Raw genomic sequence first — 27,933 nt, 5'->3', positions numbered from 1 at the left:
GTGCCTGCCTTTCCCGCTCCCAGAGTCCCCTCTTCAGAACCAGCCACATAATTTTGGGTGGGGCCCACAGCGTAACAGAAACCCTGGGCACCTTATCCAAGAGTCGTTATGAACTTCAAGGTGGCGACGACTGGGCATAACAGTGTGGGTCCTTCTGAGTGTGGCCCCATTACTGCCAGGTCTCAGCCCTGCCCCTGCCTTCCATCCTGCCTCCTCCACCCACATCCCACCCTCAGCAGCCCCCTTGCCCTCCCGCACGCCCCCTTCCCTGGGCTCCACAGATACAGCCTACACCGGGAAGCCCATCTGCCCTGGGGGGACCCTCTGAGGGTTTGGGCCAGTCTACCTAGGCTCTGGCCTGGAAGTCACCAAGCACAGCTGGCCACAGGCCACCAGAGGCCACCTTCCCATGCATGTCCTGGCCGGGTACCAGTCTGAGACAATAGTGGCCCAAAAGAAGCTTCTGGAAGAAAATGCTGGTGCTCTACTCCAGGTTCCTTCAGGGGACACTCCAAAGCAGCACTGGGCTCTGAGCTGAAGCTTCAATCCCCAAACTCACAGATTCCCAGGTCCTCCCACCTCAGATCCTCAGACCCAGGACCCCCAGATCCCCAAACCCACAGCCCTGAACCCCCGACCCTGGAGCCCAGCCTCCTTCTCCCGGCAGCAGCTCAGAGGCCTCCTCTGCCCGCAAGAGCAGCCCCCGGTCTAGCACCTGAGCCCAGGTGTCCAGCAGAGTGGGCTTGGGTCTGCAGGCCACCCAACCTTTGCTGGGCAGATTTGCTCCCTGTGCCAGTCTGTGGGAACGCAGGCCAAGTTCCTCCCCTCCCCACGGGCTTGCCAGGAAGAGCTGGAGGTGGGGACTGGTGGGGGAGCCCCCATGCCAGGGCTCCAAGAAGATGGACATAAGAGCAGGGCATCGGGTCCCATGACTCCTGAGTGCACGTGTGTGTGTGTGCATGCATGCGCCCATGTGCGCATGTGTGTGTACATGTGTGTCCCTAAGTGCATGTGTGCCCGTGTGCATGCGTGTGTGCGGGTGTGCCCCTACGTGCCTGTGTGCCCGTGTGCATGTATGTGTGTACATGTGTGTCCCTAGGTGCATGTGTGCCCGTGTGTGCATGTGCGCCCCTATGTGCATGTGCACCCGTGTGTGCACGTGTGTGCACGTGTGTGTCCCTAGGTGCATGTGCGCCCGTGTGTGCATGTATGTGTACGGGTGTGCCTCTACGTGCATGTGTGCCCATGTGTGCATGTGTGTACATGTGTCCCTACGTGCATGTGCCCATGTGTGTGTGTGTGTGCTCATGTATGTGTGTGCTCATGTATGTGTGCACCTGCTCATGTGTGCACACACCAAGTGATAAATCTGGCCACCTAGAGGAGGTGTTTTACTCTCCTCTGTGCCTTATTAACAAACTGCATGGCCTGACACGCGCAGCCGGGGACTGAATCTCTCAGGCAGATCAGCATAACGGGAAGTAAGTAAACAGTGGCCTGCACCAGCCTCCAGGTCCCACCTCGGACTAACTGGGCCTGGGCGCCCTCCTGCACCAACGGCTCAGAGCCCTGGCCATGCCGCCAGCCCCGTGGCACTGTGAGGCTGTAGGGGGCCTGCTACCTGCCTCCTCACCCCCTGTACTGTCCCAGGGACCCTGGCTCCCCTCACACAGCAGCCAGCCCTGAGGAACTGCCCTCCCAGGTGCTCAGCCAGCCCGTTGGGTAAAGCTAACAGGAGCCTTCTGCGCTGCTGAGGAGGAAACAACGAACACAGGTGCAGGGGGGCCTCACTGGGGTCCCCCCTGAGACAGAGTGCATGGCCCCCTTGCTCTCCAGGCCCCCGCCAGGCCAGCCAGGCCCCATCCCTGCCCATCTCAGGGAACTCCTCCGGCAGCCCAGGTGGGAAGTGGCAGAGCTGGGGTTGGAACCCAGGCGATTTCCAGCACCGATGCTTTGCAGGCTGTCTCAGAGGCAGATGCCCTCCTGGCTCAGCCACCTCCAGGCCAGAATGGACTGATCCCTCCTGCCTTGGCAGAGAGGTGTCGCCTGCCCATGGCCCAGGAAGCCTGGGTTCCCTACAGGCAGGACCTGGGTCTCCCTCATCTGGCCCTCTCAGCTCAGCCCGGCCCAGAGCCCAGGCCACGATGCTCAGGAAGCGCCCCCTGGATAGCTGTGTGCTGTGAAACCTCCTTCCTGCAGGTGAATTCCAAGGCTCCCGGAGCAGGAACAACAGGAGTCAGACACCTGGCTGCCCTCAGCCTGGGCCAGAGCACCCTGCCCAGTGGGCGTGAGCGGCGGCTGCTGGCAGGCGGGGGCCGCCCAGGCTGTAGATCACACCCAGCCTGCCCTGGCTCTCAGCGAGGCTCATCCTGCCTCATAAAGATGCCAGCGAGCCCTGCACCAGCACAGGCAGGCCCACAAATCAGCCTGGGCACAGGATTTAGAGTGTCACCCCTCTGCCAGGCAGATTAGCTTTGCGGGACAGCCGCTGAGGCTGCGAGAAATATGGCCCGCCGCCCCTGGGGCTGGAGAAACGGCAGAGATTTATTCCAAATCAGCCAGCTCAGACGCAGCAGACAGCTGCTCCTGCTACAGGAGGGGAAATCAAGGCACAGAAAGGAGGCGCCTGCCCAGGACCTGAAGTGCAGTGGCCGGCCAGGCCCCACCCCTGCGCCCCTCAAGCCCCTGGTCCCTTCCTGCCCAGCTATGCAAGGTCCCTTCAGGGTTCCAGTGTTACCAACGGCCCCGCCTGGGAGTTTCCTCGGTGAGGCACATGGGCTTCCCCTTGAGGGCAGCAGAGCCGTTTCCCGAACCTGGACCAAGTGTTTCCCCAAAGGGCTGAGATAACCAGGAGCCCACCGAGGAGAGAGGCTGCCTTCCTCCAGGTCAGCAGTGGGAGCAAATGGTGACCCTGCGGCCCCCCAGGAATGGCAAGGAAGTGGCAGCAGTCTCAGCCCTCCCCACCCCCAGGCCGCCCCCGCCAGGTCCACGGGATGCTTCAGAAAGCCGGCTGAAGCCCCGTATGGCAGGCAGGGCAGACTGGCCAGCACTGGCAGGGGGCCTGACACCCCAGGGACAGCACGTCCATCTGACCTCACACTCCCGTGATGGTGACAACAGTGTGAAGGCAGCTACGCAGTGATGTCACCCTGAGGGTTCTCAGGAATGTCATTACCCCAGGGCCAGGCTGTGCCACAGTGGCAACTAGCCCAGCATCGCCCGCCCTGGCAGCCAGCAGGCGCCTCCCGCATGCCATTCATCCACTCCGGGCCACCGAGTTCACCAGGGAGGCCCCAGCCTGGCACGGGGCTGTGACCCTGGACAGCACCCTCCTGGGGCATCTCCAGGGGCCTCATCTCACCTCAGACCTCCTTGGGGGAGGGTCCTGGGCTGCTCAGGGGCCTGGGCAGGGGTGGGGTCCCTCTTCCCAGGTACAGTTCCTCCCAGCAGGAGCTCCCGTCTGCTCACGGGGCCCAGATACACTTCCTTCCACCCGGGTGCTTGGAGACCTCGACCCCCCACCACGCCCGGGCCTCAGCCATTACATCCCCTCACTTCTGCGGCTTCAGAGGGGTGGAGACTCCCAGGCCTGTGGGCTCGGGGGCTGTCAAGCAGAGAGCTAAGGACTGTGCGAAGCAACTGGTGTGAAGCGTTATCCAAGGGCCGGGGCAATGGCTCATGCCTGTATTCTCAGCACTTCGGGAGGCCGAGGCAGGAGGATTGCTTGAGCCCAAGAGTTCCAGACCAGCCTGGGAAACAAAATGAGACCCCCTCTTTGCAAAAAAATACAAAACTAGCCAAGCATGGTGGCACACCTGTGGTCCCAGCTACGTGGGAGGCTGAGGCTGGAGGATCATTTGAACCTGGGAGCTTGAGACTGCAGTGAGCTATGATCGCACCACTGCACTCCAGCCTGGAAGACAGTGAGACCCTTTCTAGTAATTTCTAATTTCTATATATATATAATCACACATCCTGGCAGGGACATGTCAGCCACGCGTGTGGGGGGCGGGGGAAGGGGACGCACATGCCCGCAGGCCTAGGAACCAGGCAGCACCAGCTCACGTCTGGGGGCCATGGGGACCTGGGGGCAATGGTTGAGGACTCAAAACCGACGCCACCCAGCTGAAAGGCTCCCACTGGCCAGAGCTGGAACAGCTTTAGTCATGAAACTAACAGTATTGAATGTAACCCAAAGTACAAAACAAACATCTCTAAGTCCACGCTGCCGAAAGTATTTGGATAAATTAATAAATGAGAGAGGAGACAAATCTCCCGTGCAGAATTCCAGGTGCTTTACGTCTCTGCCTCCAGAGGCGGAGCCCGGAAGGGGCAGCGGACAGGAACTCGGGCGACCTGAGTTGGGGCCGTCGCCACCGCCTCGCTGCATGCCCGTGGGAGGGGGCACTGGAGCCTGCGGTCGGGTGTGGGGGCTCTGTGTGAGCCTCAGGGTTTTTCTGCAAACCCAAAAGAAGGCTGAGTTTTAAAAGATGATTCTGAAACAAACAGCACCCCCGAAGGCCAAGGTCTGGTGCAGCTGGGCGCAGGCAGACGGGGGAAGGTGGGGGGGACCCACATTTGGGACATGACACCTCCTCCTGACAAGGTGGCCAGGAGGGAGTTTAGGGGGGACCTTCTGGCTGCCCCAGGCCCAGGTGTGGAGCGAGCACCTTCAGGGCCCCACTCTGCTCCCAGCCCTCCTGGAAGCCTCTGCCCTGAAATCACAAATGTCCAGGCTCACGCGTCCCCTGTGCCGGCCACAGGGACTCTGCAGAGGGAGACACTGTGCCCCTCAGCCTTGGCCTGTCTGAAGGGAGACAGACCTGGGCCTGGGCCTGCAGGTCCCGGTGACAACATGGGGACACAGGGACGTTCAAGGCTGCCACCAAATCCAGAGCTCTGAAGGGGGTTCCACCACGGCCACCCGGAGCCCCAGGAGCCTCCCTGGACTCCTAGCTGCTTATCACCTGTACCCCCAACACCCACCCCACCCAACCCCATCCTCCACACCCACCCCACCCCACCCCATCCCTTCACCTGTACCCCCAACACCCACCCCACCCCACCCCATCCTCCACACCCACCCCATCCCTCTACCCCACCCCATCCATCTACCCCCATCTCTACCCCCACCCAATCTCCCCACACCCACCCTCACCCCACCCCATCTCTCTACCCTCCCACCCCATCCGTACCCCAACCCCATCCCCCCACACCTACCCTCACCCCACCCCATCCCTTTACTCCCCCAACCCACCCCTACCCCCACCCCACTCCTATCCCCACCCCATCTCTCTATTCATACCACCCACACCCACCCCACACCTCTACCCCCACTCCCACCTCTACCCATCCCTCAACCCCAAACCCACCCACCCCACACCTCTACCCCCACCCCACTCCACCCCCACCCCACACTGCCTGCCTGTCCTACAGGAAGCCGGAGCGTCTTAGCTGGCCCAGGGAATTCCTTCCCAGCCTCTTCCAGCCTCCTGGGTTTCCTGTGTGGAAACGGGCCTGGATCCCGCCTTGGTAAACACAATGTCAGGAGGGAGAAGTCACCCTGGGCTTCCTGTTTGCTGGGAGCACATCCCAGCCCCCAGGCACCGTGGGGCGGGGCTCGTTCCCAGGAGAGGAGCAGACAGGGGGCCTCCACCCCAGGAATCACCCTCCCGCCAGGGCTGCAGACAGGCCCTGGGGCGTGGGGCGCAGTCACAGGGCAGGGGCCTCCTCGGATTCCCAGGGAACCAGGGTGTGGGGGCCGAGACTGGTCCCCTTCTGGAGAGCCCAGAGCACCGTCCATTTCACGGTAGCCGGGGGCGGCCCTGGTGGGGGGAAGCAGATGAGGACAGGTGCTGAGCCATGTTCACACACATGACCGCACACGTGAACAGGAACCTCGGCAGAGAGGGAGACTGAGGCTCGAGACACAGGGGGACTGGCAGAGCCTCCCCTCCCGGCCCGGGACCCCGGGAGAACGTGGCATCATCCGGCAATGACCCCGCTGCTGGTTATTTAGGGCCCCCATCTTGGGCACTCCAGGCGGCCCCCATTCCCCCCTTCAGCTGCTGGGGCTCAGGACCCAGTGAGAACCCTGTGGAGGCTGCTGTGACCTCACTCCCAGTTCCCAGGGAAAAGGGTGTCAGGAAAGGACCAGGCTCGGGCCACGTCCTGCTGGCCTCATGAGGAACACACAGGCCCGAGGGCAGCCAAGCGACCAGCAGGCCAGGAGGGGCGACACTGCCCCATCAGCCAGGCTGGTTGGATCTCTGCTGCCACCATCCCTAGTACTGCTGCTGCTCTGCCAATGGCCCCACCCCAGCCACAGCCACCAGCCTCCCTGCCACCAACGCTCCTCTGCCAGCACTCCCACTGTCATTGCTGCCACTGTTCCCATCCCACCCTAGTGTCACATCCCCATGGCCATCGCTATGGGTTGCACTTGTGGTCCCTGGGATGGTGAACAGGAGGAGGCTCACAGGGAACCTCTGAGCCCAGCGCCTGCTACTGAAGCTGCAGTCAGTTTCCCAGACGCCTACCACGCCCAGCCAGATAGGAGGACCCTAGAGTCCAGGGATGAGGGGCCTCTGCTCTTCCGCCTCCTGCGGATCCCAGTCCTTGGAATAGGGAACCCCCCCGCCCTCCAGCAAGGAGCGGGGCAGACAGCCTGGCGGGGCCCCGGGAAATCAGACCGTGGCTCACGGACCCTCCGCCACTCTGCGAGCAGGGCGGACTGTGGAGCGGCTCTGCGGGCCCCCCAGGCCATGTAGCTCAGCTCCTGTCCCACTGGCCTGCCCAGCCCACCCAGCTCTGGCCTCCTCTTAGCCACCTCATGACCCCCTGCCCCTGGTCACCCCACCCCACAACGTGGCCTCCCGTGCTAGGGCTGGTGTGGGCAGGGCCGTCAGGGCAGGCCTGGACTTACTGGGTGAGTCAGGTGGGCACCTCACTCCATGGCAGGGGCAGGCTGGCCAGGTGCCAGGCCAGCCTCAGAGGCTACAAGAGACACCACCTGGGAGGACCTTGCCAGTGCCCGGCACAGCCCAGCAAGATCCTTTCCTGCGCCCACTCCCCTAACCCCAAACCCGCCTCAGCCCTGGCCATCCACCATCAGCAGCTGCGTGGCTCCCCGTAGGCTGCCATTTCTCCCCACCTCAGCTGACCCTGACCCTCCCCTGTGAGCCCCTCCCATCCTGCCCCTGCACACTCCAAATCCGCCCCCCTAATCCTCAAGGAACACCTGCTGGAGGCTCAAGCAGCCCTTGCCCTCTCAGGGCCGCAGTTTCCCCAAATGTCCCGGAAGCAGGAGGCAGAGGCTCCCTTGCCCTCTCAGGGCCTCAGTTTCCCCAAGTGTCCCGGAAGCAGGAGGTGGAGGCTCCTTTGCCCTCTCAGGGCCTCAGTTTCCCCAAATGTCCCGGAAGCAGGAGGTGGAGGCTCCCTGCAGGCTGCATTGGTGCCGCTGCCTTAGCTTCAGTTTCAGTCAAAGAGCTGGGTCCGGGGCGGCTGCCGCTTTCCCATCCATAAAATGGGTGACTCCTACTTGGGCCGCTCCCCAGCCAGCTTTCCAGCCCCTAATGACAGGGCTGAGGGCTTTGATGTCCCAGATGAAAGGCCGCCCCAGCTCCTGGGCTGGCCCCAAGACAGTGGATTCCACGTCCTGTAAAACAGGCACTGCCCTCTGAGAGCCAGGCCTGAACTGTGGGAAATGGGCCCGGCCTGGCCTGCCCAAAGGCCACCATCCCCAAGGCCCCAGCCACGCCAGCCCGGCAGGCAGGAGGACCGGGGTCCAGACAGGGAGGACGGGGGTCCAGGCAGGGAGGACCGGGGTCCAGGCAGCGAGGACCGGGGTCCAGGCAGGGAGGACCCAGGTCCAGGGAGGGAGGACCAGGCTCCCCAGCAAGAAGCAGGCTCTGGACCCCTCCAATGACAGAGGGATGGGGAGGGGGCAGGGTGTGCTCTATGAAAGAAAGGGACCCACCCAGACACGCCTCAGCACCCACCCATCCCCTGCAGGTGAGCAGGTACAGGGCAAGAAGGGAGCAAGAGCCGGCACCCCGCAGTGGTCTGGGCTCTAGGGCAGCTCCCCAGCCTCCCTCCTGGGACCAGCATCACCCCGGTCCCTGAGAATGAGGTACCCTGACCCACCCAACCCCACTCAGACCCCAGCACTGTCCTGGATCCCATGGACAGAGTGCCTGGCCAGTGCCTCTGTGCAGGTCAGGGGTCACAGCCAGCTGCACCAGGTTTCCAGGACACAGGCCTGGTGGGCTTCTCAGGCTCTCCTGAGAGCAGGGTCCTGAGAGGATCACCCCTCCACACCCCAAGCTCCATCACACCCCACCCGGACCCGACCCCCTCGCCAAGTTCTCCAAACCCAGCACAGAGCCGGCATGCGTGGCCCTCGGCTTCTCGGGAACAACCCTGCCCTCCACATTAGTCTGAGTTTCTGCTGGGACGCAGCGCTGGCCTCCAACAAAAGCAGGGCTGGGGCTGGAGGATCAGGGGCCCCAGCAGCCTCCCAGGCTGGCCTGCAACCCCAATCCCAGAGGCTGGAGTCCCAAGGGCCACCTGCGATGGACACTAGGGGCCTGGGTGCGGGTGACCCTGTGGCCTGACCTGGGGGGCCCTGTGGCCACACGAAGGACTGTGTCTGTGTGGGACCACAGTGCAGGGCCGGCGGGAGGCTCTCTGCAGACGGCTCAGAGCTGTCCTGGACCTGCTTCCACCGCAGCCGGAGCCTCTTTAAGGGGATGCTGTCATTCACGTATTCTTTTATTCCTTCTTCAGCCAGTGTCTCCTCAGCCCTGCTGGGCCTATCCCTGTGCCCAGGATCGGGGAAGGTGATGACTCAGACCCCGCCAGGCCGGGAGACAGGCAGAGACCGCACAAGGTGTGACGTGCCATGGCAGAGAGGCCTAGGAGCCTCCACCAAGGAGGGGCCCCACCATCCCCCGCCTGGAGCCAGGGAGGGGCACCTAGCCGGGGACAGGGGGAGTCCCCAAGGGAGGGAGGGGCTGCACAGCCAGCCTCTGGGCAGGGGATCACAGCACGGGGGATGGTGGGGCCTCATGGCCAGGACCTCGGGTTGAAGGTGGAGTGGAGCAGCTGGAAGCCAGTGCAAAGCCGCAGAAAGGGGCAGGTGCCCAGACACAACCTTCGCAGGCCAGGCAGGCGGGGGGTACTGGCATGGGGACAGAGTAACAGGCTTAAGGAAGCAAACTAGTTCCGCTGGGGACCTACCAAATGAGAAGCAGATAGGACTCCGAAGAGGCCAGGAGGCAACCAGAGCAACAGCTAAGGTGGCCCCAGAGGGCACATGTACAGGTCAGGTGAGGCCATGAGCTCACAGCAGTCAAAGGGCTGGGGATCCCCCAAAGGGTCTGGGGCCTCTGACCACGGGAAAGCCCAGCAAACTGGGGTCAAGACAGACCCAGGCCTGAGTCCTCCAGGGAAGAGCCTCCATCCAGGCTGCCCCGGGAGGGGGCTCTTGTGGTTCGGGGGTCCTGAGCCCATGAGCAAAGGTAGGCAGAGGGCAGAGGATGGCAAGAAGACTCTGGGAGGGAAATGCTGCCATCACTCCTGCCTCGACTTCCCCACACAGCATAACCCAGAGACAAGGGAGCCAGGGGCCGCTTACACAGGGCTGTTTCCCGCCAGCCCAGCCCCCAAGCCTGGCTCCCTGCCCCAGCCTCGGGACCCTAAGATCTCAGCAGAGTCAACAAGAAAGCAGATCAGAAAGGAAGCGTGGGCTTGAATCCCAGCTCTGTCGTGTTCCACCTTCTCTGAAGGGCCCTCATGGCACCGTGGGCCCCACAGGGGCTGCAAGGCAGGCCCTGGCACAGCACCCGAAGCCCTGGGTCCCCGTGGATGTGTCCTTCCCACGCTTACTGCCCGTCACCCCAGGGACCCTCAGAGGGCGGCACACCAGGGCGTGAGGAGTCTGCCGACGCCCAGTGAACTCGGCAGCCGTGGGAACCATCGATGCATCTTTAATTCACAAATAAAAGCTGTAGCAAGATGTCATCTACACATTTGTACAAAGGTTCAGACGTCCTATGCTATGCACGATCCTCAGAAAGTATGAGCCTGTCGTGCGGGGACGTCGCAAACGCTGGCAGGCTCACCCCTCGTCTGCATTTGGCAAGAAGCGCCTCCCAAGGCCCCCCCACCCTGCCCAGGGTGCCCCCCAGAGGGAGCAGGCCTCCCACAGCTGGAGAGAGCCCGGCCCCCAGAACACCTTCCCTAGAAAACCATAAAAACATAGATCATTTGTCTTCAAATTCCCACGGCAAATTCCGCATTTATGGGCAAAATGATATAAAAATATGAACCTAACAGAACCTTTACAAAACCCTACCCCCCATCTTTGTTGTTGGTCGTGGTGGTCTGTTTTGTTTTTTGCTTGTGGTTTTGGTAAAAATTCCTGCCGTGGAAGAGGCAACCTGTACCTGGGGCTCAGCCCTTGTTAGCTGCCCTCGGGACAGAGCGGGTTCTCGGGAAGGGAGGGGACTCGAGGTCAGCCATCCCTGCCCGGGAGACCCCAGGATGGATCTGCGTTGAGAACCCCACACAGATCCCCCACAACCCGGGCTCTGCCGAGAGGAAACCATTGTAAAAGAAAAGTCATCCTGAATCCTGAAAGACCCCTGGGGCGTGCAGGTAAGTCCCACTCCACTCCACAAAAACTGCTTGGCTGCAAAGAAGGCAAGGTGGACACAAACACAACCGGCGCCAGCCCCGGCCCGGACAGGCGCAGCGGGGCCGGGCTGAACACAACTTCTGCTGGTGTCTCAAGTCTGTAGCACCAAATGCAAAAGGGAGAAAAGTCCAAATCAAGGTCAAAGGCACTTGCGTTGCTGTCGGGTGGTGACGGTCTTCTGGTCACCCTGGCACCCTCGCTCTGTCCACCGCGTGGCCGGCCCTCCCTCCCCCACACTCCGTCTCCTCTCTGAGACTCCCGTCCTGCACAGAAACCCCTCCGCATCCTCCCCCCGCAGCCCCCACCACATCCTCGCTCCGTCCCACGTCCCGTCCTCCAGCCCGCTGCACGCCCCCTCCTCTTGTCCGGCGCCCAGCCTCAGACGTCCACCTCCTGCGGCCCCGGGATGGCAGCACTGGCTGCAACGCTGATGTCGAAGCAGGTGACCATCATGACGTGCGCCTTGCACAGGTTCACGCACTGCTCCAGGGCCGCCGTGGCTCGCTCCAGGGCCGCCAGGTACTCGGCCGACTCGGGCTCCAGCTCCGGGTCCACCTCAACTGGGGAGGGGAGGAGAGGGGAGGGGCACCTGCGTCAGGCCCGAGGCTGGGGGCAGCCACCTGGCCCCCCAGAGGCCCCAGGAAAGGCATCTTGGCCCGGCCGACCCTGCCTTCCAGCCTTCCCACCACGAGGTACAGGAGAGCAACAGGGCTCTGGGAGGGGAGGGCAGCTGTCAGGGCACACGGTGGGCCGGGCTGGGTCCGTGGGCGGGCGGGACTCACACTGCTCCAGCCAGCGGCCAGGCTCCAGCATCAGCCGGCCCTGGGTCTCGGCCAGCTCCTCACACAGGTGCTTGTGCTTGGCCTGCACCTCCCGCAGCCGCTGCTGCCTGCGCTCCGCCAGCCGCAGCCTTGTACTGACGCACGCCAGACCCTGGGAGGCAGGGCGGGCGGGGGCTCAGGCATGGGACCCTCTCCCCAGAGACCCCCAAGCAGCCCTGATGTGGCCCCCGCCTCCCTTCACCTGCCAGGCCTTGGCAGGCACACAGTGGGGCTCCAAGGGCGGGCAGGGGGCGGACCTGGGGCAGCCCACCCATGCCCGTCTGGGTCCTGGCTCGGCTCTAGGACCACCCTCCCCACGACAGGGGAGAATTCCAGCGGACAGCAGCAGTGGCCTCAGGACCCCCCAGCCACCCACCCACTGCCCAAGGGGAGTGTCGGAGCTGCAACAGGCTTGGGCTGGGCAGGGCCGCTCCTACCTTTGCGTCCTGGGAGGAACGTGGACAGAAAGTGAGGTCAGGGGCTGCCCAGCCACACCCCCAGAGGCCTGGCGAGCCCATCAAATGGCTCACTCTGCCATCCGCGGCAGGCTCCCCACCAGGGGTCATAGACCCCAGCCCACCAAAGGCCCTACCTGGGTGGGGGCCTCCCTCGGGGTGGGGCGGGGCCGCTGAAGGCGCTCCACGTCATCGATCTCGTACACCTTGATCTCGAACGGCTCCTTCAGGGAGCCAGCCAGGGGCGGGGGCAGGTCCACCCACTGCCCGGGGAGGCTGGGCTTACGGCCCAGGGCAGTGGTGTCGGGCAGTGGGGCGGGAATCAGGCGCCGCCGCTGCAGACCTGGAACGGAGAGCCGGGCACAGGGTGAACAGAGGCGGGGCCCAGCCCAAGCACAGCCCCTGCGGGGACGCTGCGGAGCCGGCCCGAGTCCTGACAGGGAGGCCTTCGGGATCCAGTCCAGGAATCCTCAGGCTGGCGCTCTGCCCAGGGCAGGGAGGAAGCCGACCCCAAGCCAGGCCCACAGCTCTCAAGGGCGCCCCCACCACCACCAGGGCCTCCCACTTTCCCTGCCATGACCTGAGCAGTTCTGTCCCTTGGGGCAGCCCTGGCGGGGGCCTTCCAGGCAGCTCGACACTCGCCAGGGAGGCACGAGGCCCGGGACCCAAACCCGAGTCCAGTGCCCCAGCCTGGCGACCTGTGCAGGGCTGCCCTTGTGCTCACCCAGACACAGACCAGGATCAGCCCCCCAGGGCAGGGTGGGGCCAGAGAAGGGCAAGTACAGGGGGTTTATAAACTGCAGAGGGCCGTGCACCTCCACACACAAAAAGCCCCAGGCGAGTCTGTAAACCGTCCACGGCTGTGTGGGTCTGGGACCTTGAAGGCTGTGCCCATCTGTCCAGCATCTCCTGGCCCTGTAAACTGTAGAGGGCTGTGCACATCTACACACAGAAAGCCCGTAAACTGTAGAGGGCTGTGCACCTCTGCACCCACCTGTGGCCCTCTTCTTGGGGGACTTGAGGCTGCGGGTGCGGGCGCCTGGGGAGGCAGCCCCACTCTCGCTCATGGAGTCAGGGGCGGAGGAGGCGCTGCCGGTGGCCTCGCTGTCGCGCCGCAGGCTCTCATAGCCACTGCTGCCACCGCTGTGGTGGAAAAGGGCGGTGCGGCCCATGGCGGGCGGCAGCTCTCCACTCAGCACGCTGCTGTTGTCGCTGCCATGGCCGCTGCTGTAGCGCTGGGGCCGCCGTGGGGCGGTCACCTTGCTGTAGGGGGAGGGCAGGGCCGGGCCCGTGGGTGGCCGCTCCTCCCCCACGTTCACGCCGCTGTCATGGCCGCTGTCTGAGTCCGCCGAGCCCCACGAGGAGCCACCTCGGCCCGGGGCTCCACTGGCTGACAGCTCATGGACGCGGCTGTGAGCAGCCCGGAGCGCCTGCTTTGTGCCCATGACGGTACCCCGGCCAGCCTTCGCCCCGACACTGGGCCCGGCCCGTGGGGCTGCTCTGGGACCGGCCACAGGGCCGCCAGGGCTCCTGCCCGTCACAGAGGCCGTAGACAGCTTCACCGAAGGCCCCAGAGCCCGCGACCCACCAGCCACTAGGCCACGGCCCTTGCCTCCACCAACAGGGGGCTTGGGGGCCCCCACAGCCTTGGCTGCGCCGCTCCTACAGGCGGGAGCTGGACCGTGTGTGGGGCTGGAGGGTGGCACACCCAGCTTGGGTACAGCCCGGGGAGGCCGCCCAGGGGCTTCCCGGCCCTTGCTGCTGCTGTGCGCCAGGCCTTCGTACCGCTCCAGAGACGCGTGTCCGGCAAGACGGTGTGCTGCTTCTACCTTGCTGGCCCGGGCCTTCAGGCTGGACGTGGCCCTGGGGACAGAGTGGTCAGCCCGGCTGCTGGGTCTGGGCTCCTCCTCCCCTCGAAGGACAGCAGCAGCCCCGACCCGCGCCGGGTTCACAGCATGCGGAGGGGCCGAGGCCGGGCTGCTCCTCTGCTCCAGGCTGGACTTCCGCGTGGGTGGGGCCGGGGGGGCCGCCCCACTGGGCCTCGGGAGGAAGCCCGCCTTGGGAGCCAGACCCTTCTTGCTGGTGGGGGAGGCCTTCAGGCTCCCCGAGCAGGCCACCACCTCCGTGGGAGCATCTCCCCAGGACACAGCTGGCGTTGTCACACCCAGCGTGGTGGCACCCCTCCGCAGCGGTGGGATCCGAGCCACAGCCTCTGGCCTGCGGGCCGCCCTGGCTGCCACCTCACACCCGTCCACCACTCTCTGGGCACAGGCTAGCATCACCTGGGCCTCAGGCAGCCGGGGGGAGCCAAGTGTGGGGCTGGGGGCCCTGCCAGCAGAAGCTGCCTGGGTATCACACTCCCCTACCCGGAGCAGCCATGGGTCCTCAAACAGGCCTCCACGGCCAGGTGGGCTCTGGCCCAGGCGAGCACAGCCCACACGGGTGGTGGCAGAGGCAGTCCTCGGTTTCCGGGGGAGGCTGGAGTGGATGGTCTGGGCTGCGGATGCCCACCGCGAGGGCCCGGCCTGGGGCTCCCTGCCGGGTCGGGATGGGGCCACTGCAGCCACTTCCCCAGGGCACGGACCCCAGGTTGGCCCAGGACTGTCAGGTCTGTCTGGCCCCAGGAACCCAGAGCTTCCATCCCCCAGGGAACCATCCAGGGCAGGGGGGCCCCCAGGGTCAAGCCCTGCCAGCGAGTCGGGGCTGAAGCGGGGCTGCGGCGTGGGGTCACGGCTGTCGGCAGTGCAGACGCTGACCTCGCTGAGCCAGGAGCTGATGGAGGAGCCGTGACTGCTGCCGGCCCAGGCTGCCCCCTCCAGGGGCCCCCCCTCAGGGGCCTGAGAGGTGTAGGCGTCAAACTCATCATTGATGCTGCTGATGATGCTGACTGGCCGGGACCCCGAGGCCAGGGCCCGCAGGGAGCAGTCACTGTCGAAGCTAGCCAGGCTGGTGGGCCGCCCAGCTCCGGCAAGCGCCCCCAGGGACAGCTCCTCCACCACCGTGAACACCAGCTCGTCCTCGCCGTTGAGCTCCACTGGCCGCTGCAGGGTCACTGTGGTGGTGAGCAGGCCCCGCTCCGGACAGCGACTGCCAGCAGCCAGGCGGGGGCAGGTGGCCCCAGGAAGCATCGGGGACCCAGCCACCTGCCCACTCATGCCCACGGGAGGGGTCCGTGCCACTCCATCAGTGCCCCCTCCCCCAGGCTCTTCTGGGGCTCTGCAGGCTTCCAGCAACTGAGGAGGTGGGGGAGCCGGGCTGGGCAGTGGCCTCCTGCCTCCACTCACTGCAGCCTTTTCCGGGACCAGCAGCTCAGGCCAAGCGCTGCTGTCCTCTCTCTGGTCACCCCAGACAATGGCCTTGCAGGGCTCAGGGGTACCCTGGTGGGTGTCTGGACCAGAACTGCCTCGAGGGGTGCTGGCAGCCATCGGGGTGCCCACGGCCTTCCTGGGGGATGCAGCCTCTGGTGGCGAGGGCTTCCGGCCCCCTCGGGCGGGGCTGGCCTGAGCTCCGTCGGTGCCACCTGGACCTCCTGAGGGACCCTCGTTGCCGTCCATGCATTCCAGCCGCTCCTGCAGCTCCGCGAAGGTGCTGCAGCGGAAGTGGTCTGCGTCTCGGGGACCCTTGGAGGGCCGGTGGCGGCTCAGGGCAGGGATGATGGGCACGAAGTCAGGCGGACCTTCGTTGTCGGTGAGCTCCCGGTCTGACAGCGCCGCCCCACCGGGCCCCACGTAGATGACCGTGTCACAGGACTGCTCGCTGCTGGAGGAGTAATCGGGGTCACCGGGCAGGCAGGGAGGCGTGCGGTCGGGGTCCAGGGCCACAGTGCGTGGGTGGAAGGGCCGCAGGTGCGGGGGCCGACGGGCCCGGCCTTCCTCACAGGAGCTCTCCCCGCCAGAGGAGCTGGAGGCGTACTGGGGGAAGAAAAGTGGAGCTGCCGAGCCCAGTCTCCCCTACACGCCCCCGCTTCCCCGACCCTCCCCAGAGCACAGGGCCAATGCTGCGGTCACTGTGATGAAAACTACAGCAGGCACCACCAACCATGTCCCACCAAACGCTGGGAGCGGAACTGAGTCTCAGGGGAAGAACTTAAGTGACCATTCTTAGCAACTTTACAAGGAAAACGGTGTCACCCCGCGCTGGGAGGGAACGGGAAGCTCAAAAGACAAGCATGTGTGCCCAGGCCAGTGGCCAGGACTCACACCAAGGGCCGTGTAACCCCAGAGTGCCCCAAACTCCACCCTCCAGCCCCAGAGAGGGGTCCCTAGGAAGCCCCTGCAGAGGTGGTGCGGCTCTCCTGAGCACCCCAGGGCCTGTGCGGGGGCAGCAGGCTGGAGTGAGGCCACCACAAGCCACATACAGCAAGCCCCGATTCTGCCCACTGCAGCCAGGGACCTCAGGCTGGGCTCCCCACCCCCCAGGGAGGGCCACATGGGCATAGCCTCATGACATCAGAACACATAGGACATCTACCCAGGCTCCAGGCCACCTGCTGACCCCCACCCCAACCAGGCCAGCAGAGGCCTGCAGTGGACACAGGAGCCGAGACGGCCCCGAGATGGGGCGGGCAGGAGGTGGGGAGCACCTTGGCCTTCTTCCTGCGCAGGCGGTGGATGCGGGCGGCGAGCTGCACGGTGCTGAGTGTCTCTGCGTGCTGGGCTGGCGCATCCGACACGTGGGCGATCATGGTGGTGCGGCAGCCAGCGGTGGCCAGGGATTCACGCAGCAGCATGGTGAGCCTGTGGTCCCTGCGGGTCGAGGCGGTTCAGATGCCAAGGCCTTGGGAAGGGAGCTTCGGGGACAGGCTGGCCAAGGGCAGCCCTGGGATCAGTCTGGTTCCCACCCAGCTCCGGCACCAGCCCAGCGTGGGGCCCCAGGCAGCCCACGGGCAGCGAGGCCTGTCAGGTGGTGGAGGAGCAAAGCCCTGAGGAGCTGGGGGCCACAGCAGCACCGGGCACACCAGACACGGATTTACCAGGTCACCAAGGGGCCACCCTGGTCGGCACCTGCCCAGGCCCTACACTCACCGATACGGCACATGCTTGGCTCCGTTGACCAGGGCCAAGATGACGCTGCCCAGGGCCGACAGGGACAGACACAGGGGACCCCCAGCAGCCTCCCCGGCCCTGCCAGCCGCCGCCTCACAGCTGCCCAGGTCGATGAGGTGCAGGCGGCTGCGGCCTCCGGACACTGGAACCACAAGGCAAGCAAATGATGGTGTAGCCAGGGGCCCCCAGATCCTGCTCCACATCCCCACCCCAGGCCCAAGCTGGGGACAACCCCAGGGACATCCCCAGGAGCCACTGGATGACAGGCCCCTGTGCCTGGGTCTCTGCTGACACGCATCCCACAGGGGCCCGGGAGTGCGGGTGTGGCACCTACTTCCTCCCCGGCCGCACTTCTCCATGCGGTACTGGTAGACGTGCAGCGTGAACAACATGTGGGAGCTGCGTCGGGCGTCCTCGCCACAGCCCGCTCGGCTGGTGCTGCGGGCCGCCAGGGCCGCATCCAGGTAGAAAGCCGCCTTCTCGGCCGTGGGTGCCCGCAGCTCGCTTTGGTTCTGGAGCTGCAGGAAAGGCAGAGGCAGCGGCGTCTTCAGTGGCTCAGGGCCAAGTGCAGCCCCCCTCCCCCAAGGTGGGACAGTAGGCAGGCGCACCTGCGCCCCACACACGGGGTCCTCCCGCAGGTACACTCCCGGAGACTGGGTGTCCTGGAGGCTGCCAGGGGCCACCTCGGCCAGCAGGTCCCGCAGGCTCTGGTCGCGCCCGCACACCTCCACGGCTGAGACCCGGACGGAGAAGCGGGTGCCCGTCCTCTCCCTGCGCTCCTCGATGAGCCTGAAGAGCCAGGAGATGGCGCAGGGCACGATGCCCAGGCTCTGGGGTGAGCTGTCCTTCCCGATCATGGTGTACGACTTGCCTGGGGGCCACGCAGGCGTCAGGCCCCACCACACACCACGCAAGGAGCCTTTATGGCTACTGGCGTCCCCGGGGGCCAACCAGGGGCACCGAGATCTCAGGGGCCTCTTTGGATCCATCCTAAGCCCTCTGCCTTTCAGTTCGGCAGGGGTTCAGCTTCCTCTCCACAAGCCCCTCACCCCATATGCCCACCACGGCCCATGTGTAGGACCAGCCTCCTTTCCCATCAGAAGCTGCCAGCAACCACCGTGATGAGGATGGGAGGGGGTGGCCAGCAGGACCCATCTAGGGTGGGGCAAGGGTGCTTACCCAGGCTCATGTGGCCAAAGGAAAAAATGCAGCCATCAGCCCCACTGACCACCGACTGGAGCACGTCGGCCACGGTCCCCGAGCAGACTTCGGCCTAGGGGGGCAAGAGAATCAGGCAGGGCTGTGGCCCCTTCCTTCTGCCACGTCTGTGGGCCTGAGGCCGGTCTGTCCTGGCACATGCAGGCAGTCGACCCACAAGGAGATTGGGCTGCACACCTGGGACCAAGGACAGATCCCATGTGCACACGGAAAGCACAGAACACACATGAACAGGACCCAGGACACACGTAGGAGGGACTGGCCAGACACGTGCAGACACACACCCGCAAAGCCCAGAAGTCCAGCCGCCGGGCGCAGGGGCAGACCACCACGCGCAGAGAGACGCACACGCAGCCACACGGTGCACGGCTCAGCATGGGCAGGGAGCACCGGGCGCCCCCAGAGCCCAGAGCCCAACAGCTGCTCGGAAAGCTTCCCGGGAGGGCGGGCTCCGGAAAACCAGGCCTTTCCCTGTGGACTTGGCCCAGAGCCTCGGCAGGGGCGGATGGAGACACCCAAGGACGCTGGCCAGGACGATGAGGGAGGTAAGCAGGCAGGCGCCGCAGGCAGCGGGCCCCTCGCTCACGCTTCCTCTGCGCCCTGCACGGAGAAGCGGGCGCAGATCGGACCCATGTGCTGAGCCAGCAGCCCGGCTCCGGGTCTCCGGGAGGACGCCCAGTCCGCCTGCCCGTACCTGCTCGGAGTCCTGGGGGAAGACGGCATCGAAGGCAAACATCTTGGGAACTGCAGCAGTGGCGGCTCGCCGGGGGCCTGCGCTGCCTGGGGGACCGGCGGCGGGATCGTAGAGGATCACCTGCTTCTTCCGAGGGTCCACCTTCAGGAAGGACATGGCCTCGGCCGAGCGCTGGGCCCCCTGTGCGGGCCAGATCCGCAGCATAACCTTCACCTGGGGCAGAGGTGGGCGGCACCTGAGAAGCTGCCTCCGCCCAGCCGGCCACTAATTACAGGGCAGGAGGGGCCCAGCTCAGGTGGGGACAGCGGGCCAGGCCTCACACTGGCACCCCCACCGCAGGAATGTGGACACCGCGCCCCTGCTCCAGGCGAGAGCAGATCCCATATGAGGTCAGCAGAGCAGGGAGAAGGTGAGGGCCAGGGAGAGGCAAGGCCGGTGCACAGCCTGTCAGCACCGAATGTGCGGCACAGAGAATGAGGGGGCGGCGGGCTCCGGGCGCCTCCGTGAGAAGAGGACAGCCGCTCAGGTCCTGCAGAGCAGCTCAGTCCAGGAGAGGGCAGGAGGGAGGAGCATGGCCCCCTGGCCCAGCCCTCGCAGGCTGCTCCCCAGGCTGAGGGGGAGCACTTGCAAGATAAGGGAATGAACTGCCCCACAGAGGTGTGAGAGCCGCAGAGGGCTGGCGCTGTCAGGGGAGCCATCCAGGGGCATGGCTGCCTCCGACCCTGGCCAGCTGAGGGAACCGAACCCTGGCACCCTGTGGCCTGCCGGACTAGAGTCAGCAGAAAGCAGGGGGAAGCCCATTCGAATGCAAACGGGGACGGGCAAGATAAGAAGGATCCCATCCAGGGGAAGATACAAATTCTGACGCCTCGGCCTCACCGGCCCCACTGCAGGCTTGGGGAGACTGAGGCTGGGGGGCAGGCTGAGGGTGGGTTGGGCTTCCAGACTGACCTCCCGAGCCAGCAGGGAACCAGGCAGCCCTGGTGCTGGGCAGAAGCAATGGCGTCTCCAAAGCACACACACAGATCTCAAACTGGGCCACATACAGGCACCGGACTCGGGAAGACCCTGACACCAGCCCCAGTACCCTGAGAGGGGGCAGACGCCGGGGAGGGGCAGGACCCAGGATGCCGGAGCCCAGAGCAATCACTGCAAACACTCCGAAACCCATCCACAGCAGGGACACCCCACACAGGTGGGTCTGGTGCGTCGATGCCAGGAGGCGGCGGCTCTGACCCGGCAGAGGCTGCGCACACGAGGGCCACCCTGAACCAGGGCTCCAACGCAGAGCCAGAGACAGGCCCCATTTCCTGCTGGAGGACACCACAGTCCACTCTGCGCTGAAATCTCTGATTTCTCCACTACAGCGTAAATCAAATTACCCGAGACTCATTTCAGAGCCAATATTTTTCACGGATTTAATTGTAAGTGACAGATACATAACGCCGGCAAAATTGGTTTACCATGGGTAGTTCGCACCAGGCGGCACCTACTCCCCCTGGGCATGGGGCACATTGATATGCAAGCCGCTGGAGTCGGGAGTGCCCGCTCTCCGGGGAGCAGCATGAAGAAACACTTTTCTATTGTACTACTCAGAACCTGGGCTCCATTAGGCAAGAATCGATTCTTTTATTCCCCCGACGACGTGATCAAAACTATTTCATTTCCAGACGCCACCACAAAGCAGACGAAAACGTGCACTTCCCGGTAATTTTTGGCAATTTTTTTTCCAGTGTGAACTCCTCACCACTTCAGGAGCCAAATGGGCTCTGCAGATTTGAGAGACTTCCTAGCGGGAAGGAGTGGCGTGGAGAGGCTCACGGTTTGGCTCTCTACGTCTGCCGGCCACCCTTTCCACCAGCGGCATTAATCGCAGAGCGGGCTCACAACCAGGAGGAAGGGGGGTGTGGGCCTCCCCAGGGAGGGGATGGAGCAGCCCACAGTGGGGGCACCGCCCATCTAGCCTGCCCCACACTGCCCTGGTCCCAGCGCAGGCCATTGTCTGCCGAAAGAGAACCCTGTCATTACTGCAGGGAAATGACAGGGTCTTTGCAGGAAAAGGCACAGCAAGCCTCTCCCCTAAATGTTCAGATATTACAAAGCCCCACGGAATAGCTGCCTGGGAGAGAAAAAACACATTTTGCATTAAAAAAGGGCTTCCAGCTCTGAAGAGGTAGCCCAGGCAGGGAGGGGGAAGGGCGCTGCTCAGCACCCACCCAGACAGGGATGTCTTTTTTATACCACACTGTGATGAATTATCTTAAGTAGCACATTAATGTCAGAAATTGAACGTAATCTAACTTCTTTTCTGTGACAATATTAAACGCCTTTCAGGCGGCATTTCTGACTATGTGACATTAGTGCTAATAACACCCGGGGAGCTGGGGGGTGTGCAGGGTGGAGGGGCTGGAAGGCTGGTGACCCAGGGCTCCTTGTTGCTGGGGAAGCACTGAGCACTCCGGAGCAGGGTGGGGGTGTGACTGCCATGGAGAGAAGGGAGAAGCCCGGCCAAGGCTGCCCCCAGGAGGAAGTGGGGCAGAAGCTGTCCCCTAAGAAACGCGGGGCGCTGGGAAAAGTGTTGCGGGCTCCTGAAGGAGCTGCTGACTCCTCTGCCCCCCGCCCCAACTGGATGGCACAAACAGGCTGAGTGCCAGGCCCAGGCCAGAGCCAGGGCCCCGATCCCAGGCTGGGCGGGGAACCTGGATGCTGCCTGCCCACCACCGCCCACACCTGACCTCGGCGTCCTCCTGAGCTCTCGGCACAGCTCTGCAGCCCACGTGGCCAGGGCAGCGGCAGCCTGGCCCCAGCACCCACCTGCCCTGTCTCAAGGAGACTGTTGAGGGTGGGGAGGACCCAGGGTGCCCCAGCCAGCCAGGCCTGGGCCCAAAACACAGGCTGATGCCACTGGCCTCGCATCCCAGGGGACTGTGGAGAAACAGCCCGTGCCGGGCACACGCACAGAGATCAGGAGCCCCCTTGTTCCCCGCAGACCCCCAGCAGTGCTAGGCAAAGAGATTTCCAGGGAGGCAGTGACCCCCGGCCTAGTCCCCCAACTCTGCTTCACCCACCACCCCCGCCTCACCCCAGGCAGGGGCCTTGCCCCAACCCCAGCGGAGCAATGACAAGTCCCTGATCCAGGCCACACAGCTTCCCCTGCCCCCGGGCCTTGGATGCAGAATGTCGCCTCCGGAGGACAGAGATGCCAGATGCCCGCCAAGCCCTCCTTACCACAAACGGAAACCAGTGCCCAGAGGGACAAGCGATCCATTCAAACCCTGGCAACTGGTGGGGTGCTCGGGGTGGAGACCCAGAGTCAGGGAGATCGGGAGGCTCCTGGTGGTCTCACCACACACTCCCCTCTGGACACCCATGCAGCTCCAAGGTGCCAACTGCCTGATGCCCCCACCCGGACCCGCCATGGCCTATGAAGATGGTAAGAGCTGTCAGGTCTGCCCCACAGGCCGCCCCAGAGCCCCTATGCCCCACGGCGGCCCTCCCTAGGGACCCACCACTGCCCCAGACCAGTAGCCACCGTCAATTCAGGCCAGGGCTGCCCTGGAGAGGTTGGAGGGCTCAAGTCACGAAATTAGCGTTCCAGGGGCTGCAAGTACAATGCTCGCTACATCACCGGGCGGGCAGGGGGCACAGCCCCCAGCAACTGCACCACTGAGGGCGTGGCCAGACACACAGTCACTTACAGCCCTTCCCCGTAGCCAGCATGTTCCAAACCCTCCCACGAGCCTGGCACCTCCCGAGCTCTAACAAAATCCCAAGGTGTGGCTGCCCAGGAGGCCCCTCCAGGACTACAGAGCTGTAAAGGTCAAGCAGGCTCTCACCAGGACTGCGAGGGGTGCTCCTGGCACCCTAGACCCAGTACAGCTAGGGCAGTGGGAGAGGCCTGTGGCACCCCCAGGCCCAGGGACAGGGGCCTTCTGCCAGGGGGTCTCCAACGTGGGCACAGCGTCCCCTCCAGACCTTGTCCCCTGGAGAGCTGAACCCCTGGGAATCGTGGTCCAAGTCCAGAGGGGCACGGAGCCTGATGGCCCATGTGGGGCACAGAGCCTCCCGGGCCTGGAGGCACCAGGCAGTGCTTTCGGGGTGCTGGGCGGGAGGGGGCTGGCTGCAGAGCAGGCCGAGGGGCAGGAAAAAGCCACCGGGGGCACACACAGAGCTGTGTGACTGGCTTCCCACCCTCCATGGGCACAAAGAGCCCACCTGACTCAATGGGCCCACGAACCAGGCACTGCCAGCTCCCAGCACAAGGCAGGGCCACGTCCAGCCAGGGCAGGTATTTCTCCGAGACTCGGATGGCACAACCAGCAAGCCACAGGCCCCAGGCTCAGAGCTCCAGGGACAGCCAGGAGCCAGCCTGTCCCATCACTGATGGAGGCCCTGTGCCCTCCACAGGCGGCAGTCTTCCCATGTGGAGCGCGGCGCCAGAATCAACCCATCACGCATCCCGCTTTCCCATGGCAGGGGCCCGCCTGCACACGGTGACTCTGGAGAGCAGAGAGTCCCCTCCTGCCCCCAGCCCCCTCAGGGCTGCGTCTCAGTGGAGCCTACGCAAGGGGCTTCCCTGGATCAAACCCAACCTTAGTCCCTGGGAGCCCCGTGACCTGGCTGTCCCGCCCCACGCTGAACCTAGTACATGCCCCTGGGACCCCTAGGACACGCCACTCCCCTCCCATCCCGGCAGTCCCAGCCCAGCACAGGCTCCCAGGCTCCCTGCTGCCACCTGGGCCTCAGTCTCCCCATGGCACCCCACTGACCACCCTTATCCAACCCAGAGAAGGAAGTGGCAGCCCCTCCACTCCCTCACCCCTCCTGCGTCTTCTCAGACGCCTCTGGCCTCCCCACCCAGGGCCCCGAACTCGGGGCTGCGTCTACCTTCCCGATGCTGCCAGGGTTGTCCTTGGTCTTGGAGGCGGCCCTGAGCAGGCAGGGGGGCGCCGGGGGCGGCCACAGCTGCAGGACCCCGCTGAAGTCGGTGGGGTAGGTGGAGGTGCCGCGGGTGGCTGGAGGCGGTGGCGGGTGGGGCTTCTTCCTCTTGGAGGCCAGGCTGAGCTTCTGCATAGCCCTGGGGAGGAGAGGCAGAGGCAGGATCAGTGGTGGGTGACAGCAGCTGTTCCTGTCACCCGCCTGCGAGTCACCAGGCGATCCCACCCTGGGACTTCATCAGCCACCATCCCAGGAAACCCAGTCCAAAATGTGGCTGGGAGGCCTGCACTTCATTTCTACAGTGGACGGTTCAGGCTGGGGCCTCCATGGCGTCCCTGCCCCAGGGACTCTGCCCAGCATTCACACCAAGCTTGTGACAGGGTCCAGACCCACACAGGCTGAGCGCCCCTCCCTGTGCTCTGCACTGAATGCCATCCCCCCACCAAGGGGTGTGCCCTCATCCCCCACCTGCAGCCGCTGCCGGGGGTCGGACAGTGAAAGCTGCTCCCACCCGATGCCCAGGCTGTGGGCAGCCATGCACAGCTGTGACCTGGGCACATCCACCTGGCCTGCCTATGCCTCAGTTTCTACATCTCCAAAGTCGGATGAGGTGACAATGGAGGCCTCTGTGTGGCCCTAATGGACTGACACACTCAAGGCACCCAGCACAGTGACCACATACAGGAAGGGCTCAATTAATCCTGCTGTCGAGATTACCACACCCCAAGCCCCAGGCCCCAGGTGAGGCTGCCTTGCCCCTTGCCGATCACCAAGGCCCTAGAGCCATCCTGGAGCCACTGCCCAGCTCCTGGGCCCCTGCCACCCTCGTCACTCAGGGCTGCTGGGAAGTGCCCCCGCTGCCACCCTGCCCCTCAGCCAGGGCGAGCGCCTCCCCACCCCAAAGCCCACCCTGAGGCTCAGCCTTGCCCCAGCACCGCCAGGGGTGGGGGATTCCTGCACCCACAGTGCCCCCAGGGAACTCCCAGAAGGTGCAGAGTCTCCCAAAGCCCCCGGACCACAGGACCTCCAGGGGAGAGGCTGACGCTTGGGTTTAACACACCCTCCAGGGGAGGCCAGTGCATGCTTGGGAGCCACTGGGGTGGACTCCCAGGGGACCTCGACACGCACACCCTACAGAGACACACACAGACACACACAGAAACACACACATGCACACAGAAACACACAGACACACATATGCACACAGAGACACAGAGACACAGTCACACACATGCATACAGAAACACAGACACACATATGCATACAGAAACACACAGACACACATATGCACAGAGACAGAGACACACAGTCACACATATGCATACAGAAACACAGATACACACACATGCATACAGAAACACAGACACACACATGCATACAGAGACAGAGACACACACATGCATAGACACACAGACACACACATGCATACAGAAACACACAGACACACACACACGCATAGACACAAAGATACACACATGCATACAGAGACACACAGACACACATGCACATGGAAACATACACAGAGGCCCACACACACACGCATACAGAAACACACACAGAGACAGACACACACGCATACAGAGACACACAGAACACATATGCATACAGACACAGAGACACATGCACACAGGGACACACAGACGCACACATGATACAGACACACAGACGCACACATGCATAGAGACACACAGACACACATGCATACAGAGACACACACATGCATAGAGATACAGACACACACATGCATATGGAGACAGAGACACACATGCACACAGAAACACATGCAGAGACACAGACACACACATGCATACAGAAACACAGACACATGCATAGAGATACACACATGCATACAGAAACACACAGAGACATATACATGCAGAGACACACACACAGAGACACACACACATAGAAACACACACATGCATACAGAAACACAGAGACACACAGACACACATACACATACAGACACACACAGAGGCACACCCAGAGACACGTGCACGCATACAGAAACACACACAGAGACGCACACATAGAGACACATATGCATACAGAAACACGGAGAGACATAGAGACACACACAGAGACAGACACATAAAGACACAGAGACACATATACAGAGAGACACAGGCACACAGACACTCAGAGACACACACACATACTCAGACACTCACACAGAGACAAGGATACACAGAGAAAGAGAAATGCAGACACACACACAGAGATGCACACACAGACACGCGCACACACACAGACACGCGCACACACACAGACACGCACACACACTCACACACATACACACACAGAGCACACACATACACACGCAGACAGGCACACACACAGAGTACAGGCCCGCCGCGCCTCTGAGCCCTGGCTGTGCTAACCCTGCTGCTGGGGATGTGTTCCCAGGTCCCATCACTGGGCCACACCTACTCATTCCCTGGGGTGGCTTCTCTGTGGCCCACCCACCCCACCTCTGCAGGGCCCCACACCCTCCCAGCACATTTTGTGCTGCAGGCACCCAGAGCCCCTACCCCGGATCATGGACCCACCAGCACAGGGACACCAGGACGCCACAGGGGTGAACGAACACACACACTGGGTGTCACCACCTCCCAACAGGAGGCGCTCCCACGCGGGCCAGAGGCCAGGATGCCACCCGGCGAAGGGTGTGGTGAACGCTGACCACCGGCGCTCCCCCGACCCACCCTGGGCTCCTCTGTCCCCTAACATGCCCCACGCCCCCCCCACAGCCCTCGGCCTCTCACGTCTATCTTGACTCCCTAAAACTGACCCCAGTGTGGAAGGACCTGCACCCCAGAGCCGGGCCCGGCCTCTCGCTGCCCCCACTGCGGCGGCTGCAGCGCTGGCGTTTTGCTTAATTTCTTTCATTTTGAATAGGAGCTGTCTCTTAAGAGACCCCAGGGACGGCTTTCCTCCTAGTGAGGTGTCATCGTGGAAAGTAAAAGTAATCTATGACACATGGTGGAGTCCTTAGTAGGGCAGTGGTGGGCGGTGCCTGCAGCCACCCAGGCAAGACGTGGAGCCGGGGGATGCCAGGAGGAAGAATCCCAGGAACCAAACCCACGGCTACCCAGGAGAAGCCCCGGTAGTTCCAGGTGTGGGAAGCCCACCCGCCGCCTCGGGGACTTGGGTTCCTTGCCCACAGCTGGCACGGTATTGGGTAAATGCTGGCGATGCCGGGTGAGGTCCAGGGGTCTCAGGCACACGGGCCTGGGCCCCAGGATGCAGGTGTGAGTCAGAGCAGGGGTCGGGGCCCATGGCCGCCCCGTGCCGCGCATGCTCGGGGTTCCGGGGTCACTGGGGTCCCAGGTTCGTGACCCTCTGGTAGCTGAGCCACACAGGGTGGGGCCCAACGCGGCAGGGAGGCCTGCAAGGGGAGGCAATGGCACCTGCATCGTGGGGCCCGGGCCTGTGTGCCTGAGACCCCTGGACCTCACCCAGCATCGCCAGCATTTACCCAATACCGTGCCTAAGCCTCGTCTCTGTAAACCTCACAACTGCCCTGCAAGGAAGAGGCCCTTGTGCCCTCGTCGCCCAAAGATCACTCACACAGCAGATCAGGGACAGGATGGAGGCCGACACACTCGCCCACGCTGTCTGTGTGTCTGTGCGTCTGTCCACAGGGCAAGAAGCCCGGGCAGAGGGGAACGCTGGGAAGCGCAGAGGGCAGAGCCACAACCCAAACCTCAAAGTGAGCCCCCATAGCGGGCAGGGAGACTGGGCAGGGGCCTGGGCGAGGCCAGAGGCAGGCAGGCAGGGCTGCATCTGCCCATTTGGGGGCACAGGTGGGAGGAGGCTTGGATTTCACCAGTGTCTGCTCTTGGGGTTCTTCCTGCCTGCCCACCACCCCAGCCTCAGCCTCCTGTTCCAGACCCCCCACCCCACGACCTTGGGTTACACCTCAGCTTCCCGCCAGCTGCCTGCAAGGGAAGAAGCTGCGGCCCCGCTTTGGAAAACATCCGCATCTAGCAGGCAGGACTGGGACAGGGCTACCCCACCCTGCTGCCTGGTGCTGCTCCAAGGCTGGGACCCCAGGTTTCTT

At 63.8% G+C, this 27,933-nt stretch overlaps 1 protein-coding gene across 2 annotated transcripts in view, besides 4 other annotated features; it reads right to left on the bottom strand.

Annotated features, from left to right (window-relative positions):
* Positions 1,191 to 2,024: an enhancer, noted in NCBI's record as "H3K4me1 hESC enhancer chr14:104655181-104656014 (GRCh37/hg19 assembly coordinates)". NCBI's record gives its function as "activates a minimal SCP1, AML or CMV promoter by ChIP-STARR-seq in primed H9 embryonic stem cells {active_cell/tissue: H9 hESC(primed)}" and the evidence as "EXISTENCE:reporter gene assay evidence [ECO:0000049][PMID:30033119]".
* The window catches only part of KIF26A (kinesin family member 26A), a 42,308-nt gene continuing 24,348 nt past the window's right edge, over positions 9,974 to 27,933 (bottom strand). For both annotated transcript variants that reach the window (NM_015656.2, XM_011536641.3), the window contains 11 exons: positions 23,820 to 24,009; positions 18,933 to 19,145; positions 18,200 to 18,293; positions 17,629 to 17,891; positions 17,355 to 17,538; positions 17,000 to 17,162; positions 16,558 to 16,720; positions 12,970 to 15,886; positions 12,113 to 12,318; positions 11,482 to 11,632; positions 9,974 to 11,259 (listed from right to left, as the gene is read on the bottom strand). In NM_015656.2, the coding sequence (NP_056471.1) occupies positions 11,078 to 11,259; positions 11,482 to 11,632; positions 12,113 to 12,318; positions 12,970 to 15,886; positions 16,558 to 16,720; positions 17,000 to 17,162; positions 17,355 to 17,538; positions 17,629 to 17,891; positions 18,200 to 18,293; positions 18,933 to 19,145; positions 23,820 to 24,009 (4,726 nt within the window). In that variant the 3' untranslated portion in view covers positions 9,974 to 11,077. The remainder of the gene's footprint in view (positions 11,260 to 11,481; positions 11,633 to 12,112; positions 12,319 to 12,969; positions 15,887 to 16,557; positions 16,721 to 16,999; positions 17,163 to 17,354; positions 17,539 to 17,628; positions 17,892 to 18,199; positions 18,294 to 18,932; positions 19,146 to 23,819; positions 24,010 to 27,933) is intronic.
* Positions 11,138 to 11,672: an enhancer, noted in NCBI's record as "H3K27ac-H3K4me1 hESC enhancer chr14:104645533-104646067 (GRCh37/hg19 assembly coordinates)". NCBI's record gives its function as "activates a minimal SCP1, AML or CMV promoter by ChIP-STARR-seq in primed H9 embryonic stem cells {active_cell/tissue: H9 hESC(primed)}" and the evidence as "EXISTENCE:reporter gene assay evidence [ECO:0000049][PMID:30033119]".
* Positions 18,451 to 19,164: an enhancer, noted in NCBI's record as "H3K27ac-H3K4me1 hESC enhancer chr14:104638041-104638754 (GRCh37/hg19 assembly coordinates)". NCBI's record gives its function as "activates a minimal SCP1, AML or CMV promoter by ChIP-STARR-seq in naive H9 embryonic stem cells {active_cell/tissue: H9 hESC(naive)}" and the evidence as "EXISTENCE:reporter gene assay evidence [ECO:0000049][PMID:30033119]".
* Positions 21,306 to 22,018: an enhancer, noted in NCBI's record as "H3K27ac-H3K4me1 hESC enhancer chr14:104635187-104635899 (GRCh37/hg19 assembly coordinates)". NCBI's record gives its function as "activates a minimal SCP1, AML or CMV promoter by ChIP-STARR-seq in primed H9 embryonic stem cells {active_cell/tissue: H9 hESC(primed)}" and the evidence as "EXISTENCE:reporter gene assay evidence [ECO:0000049][PMID:30033119]".

This window comes from Homo sapiens, chromosome 14 (genome assembly GCF_000001405.40).
Source record: "Homo sapiens chromosome 14, GRCh38.p14 Primary Assembly".
Classification (NCBI taxonomy): Eukaryota; Metazoa; Chordata; class Mammalia; order Primates; family Hominidae; genus Homo; species Homo sapiens.
The sequence above is the reverse complement of the archived record's forward strand: the minus strand, read 5'-3'. Positions and strand labels throughout refer to the sequence as shown.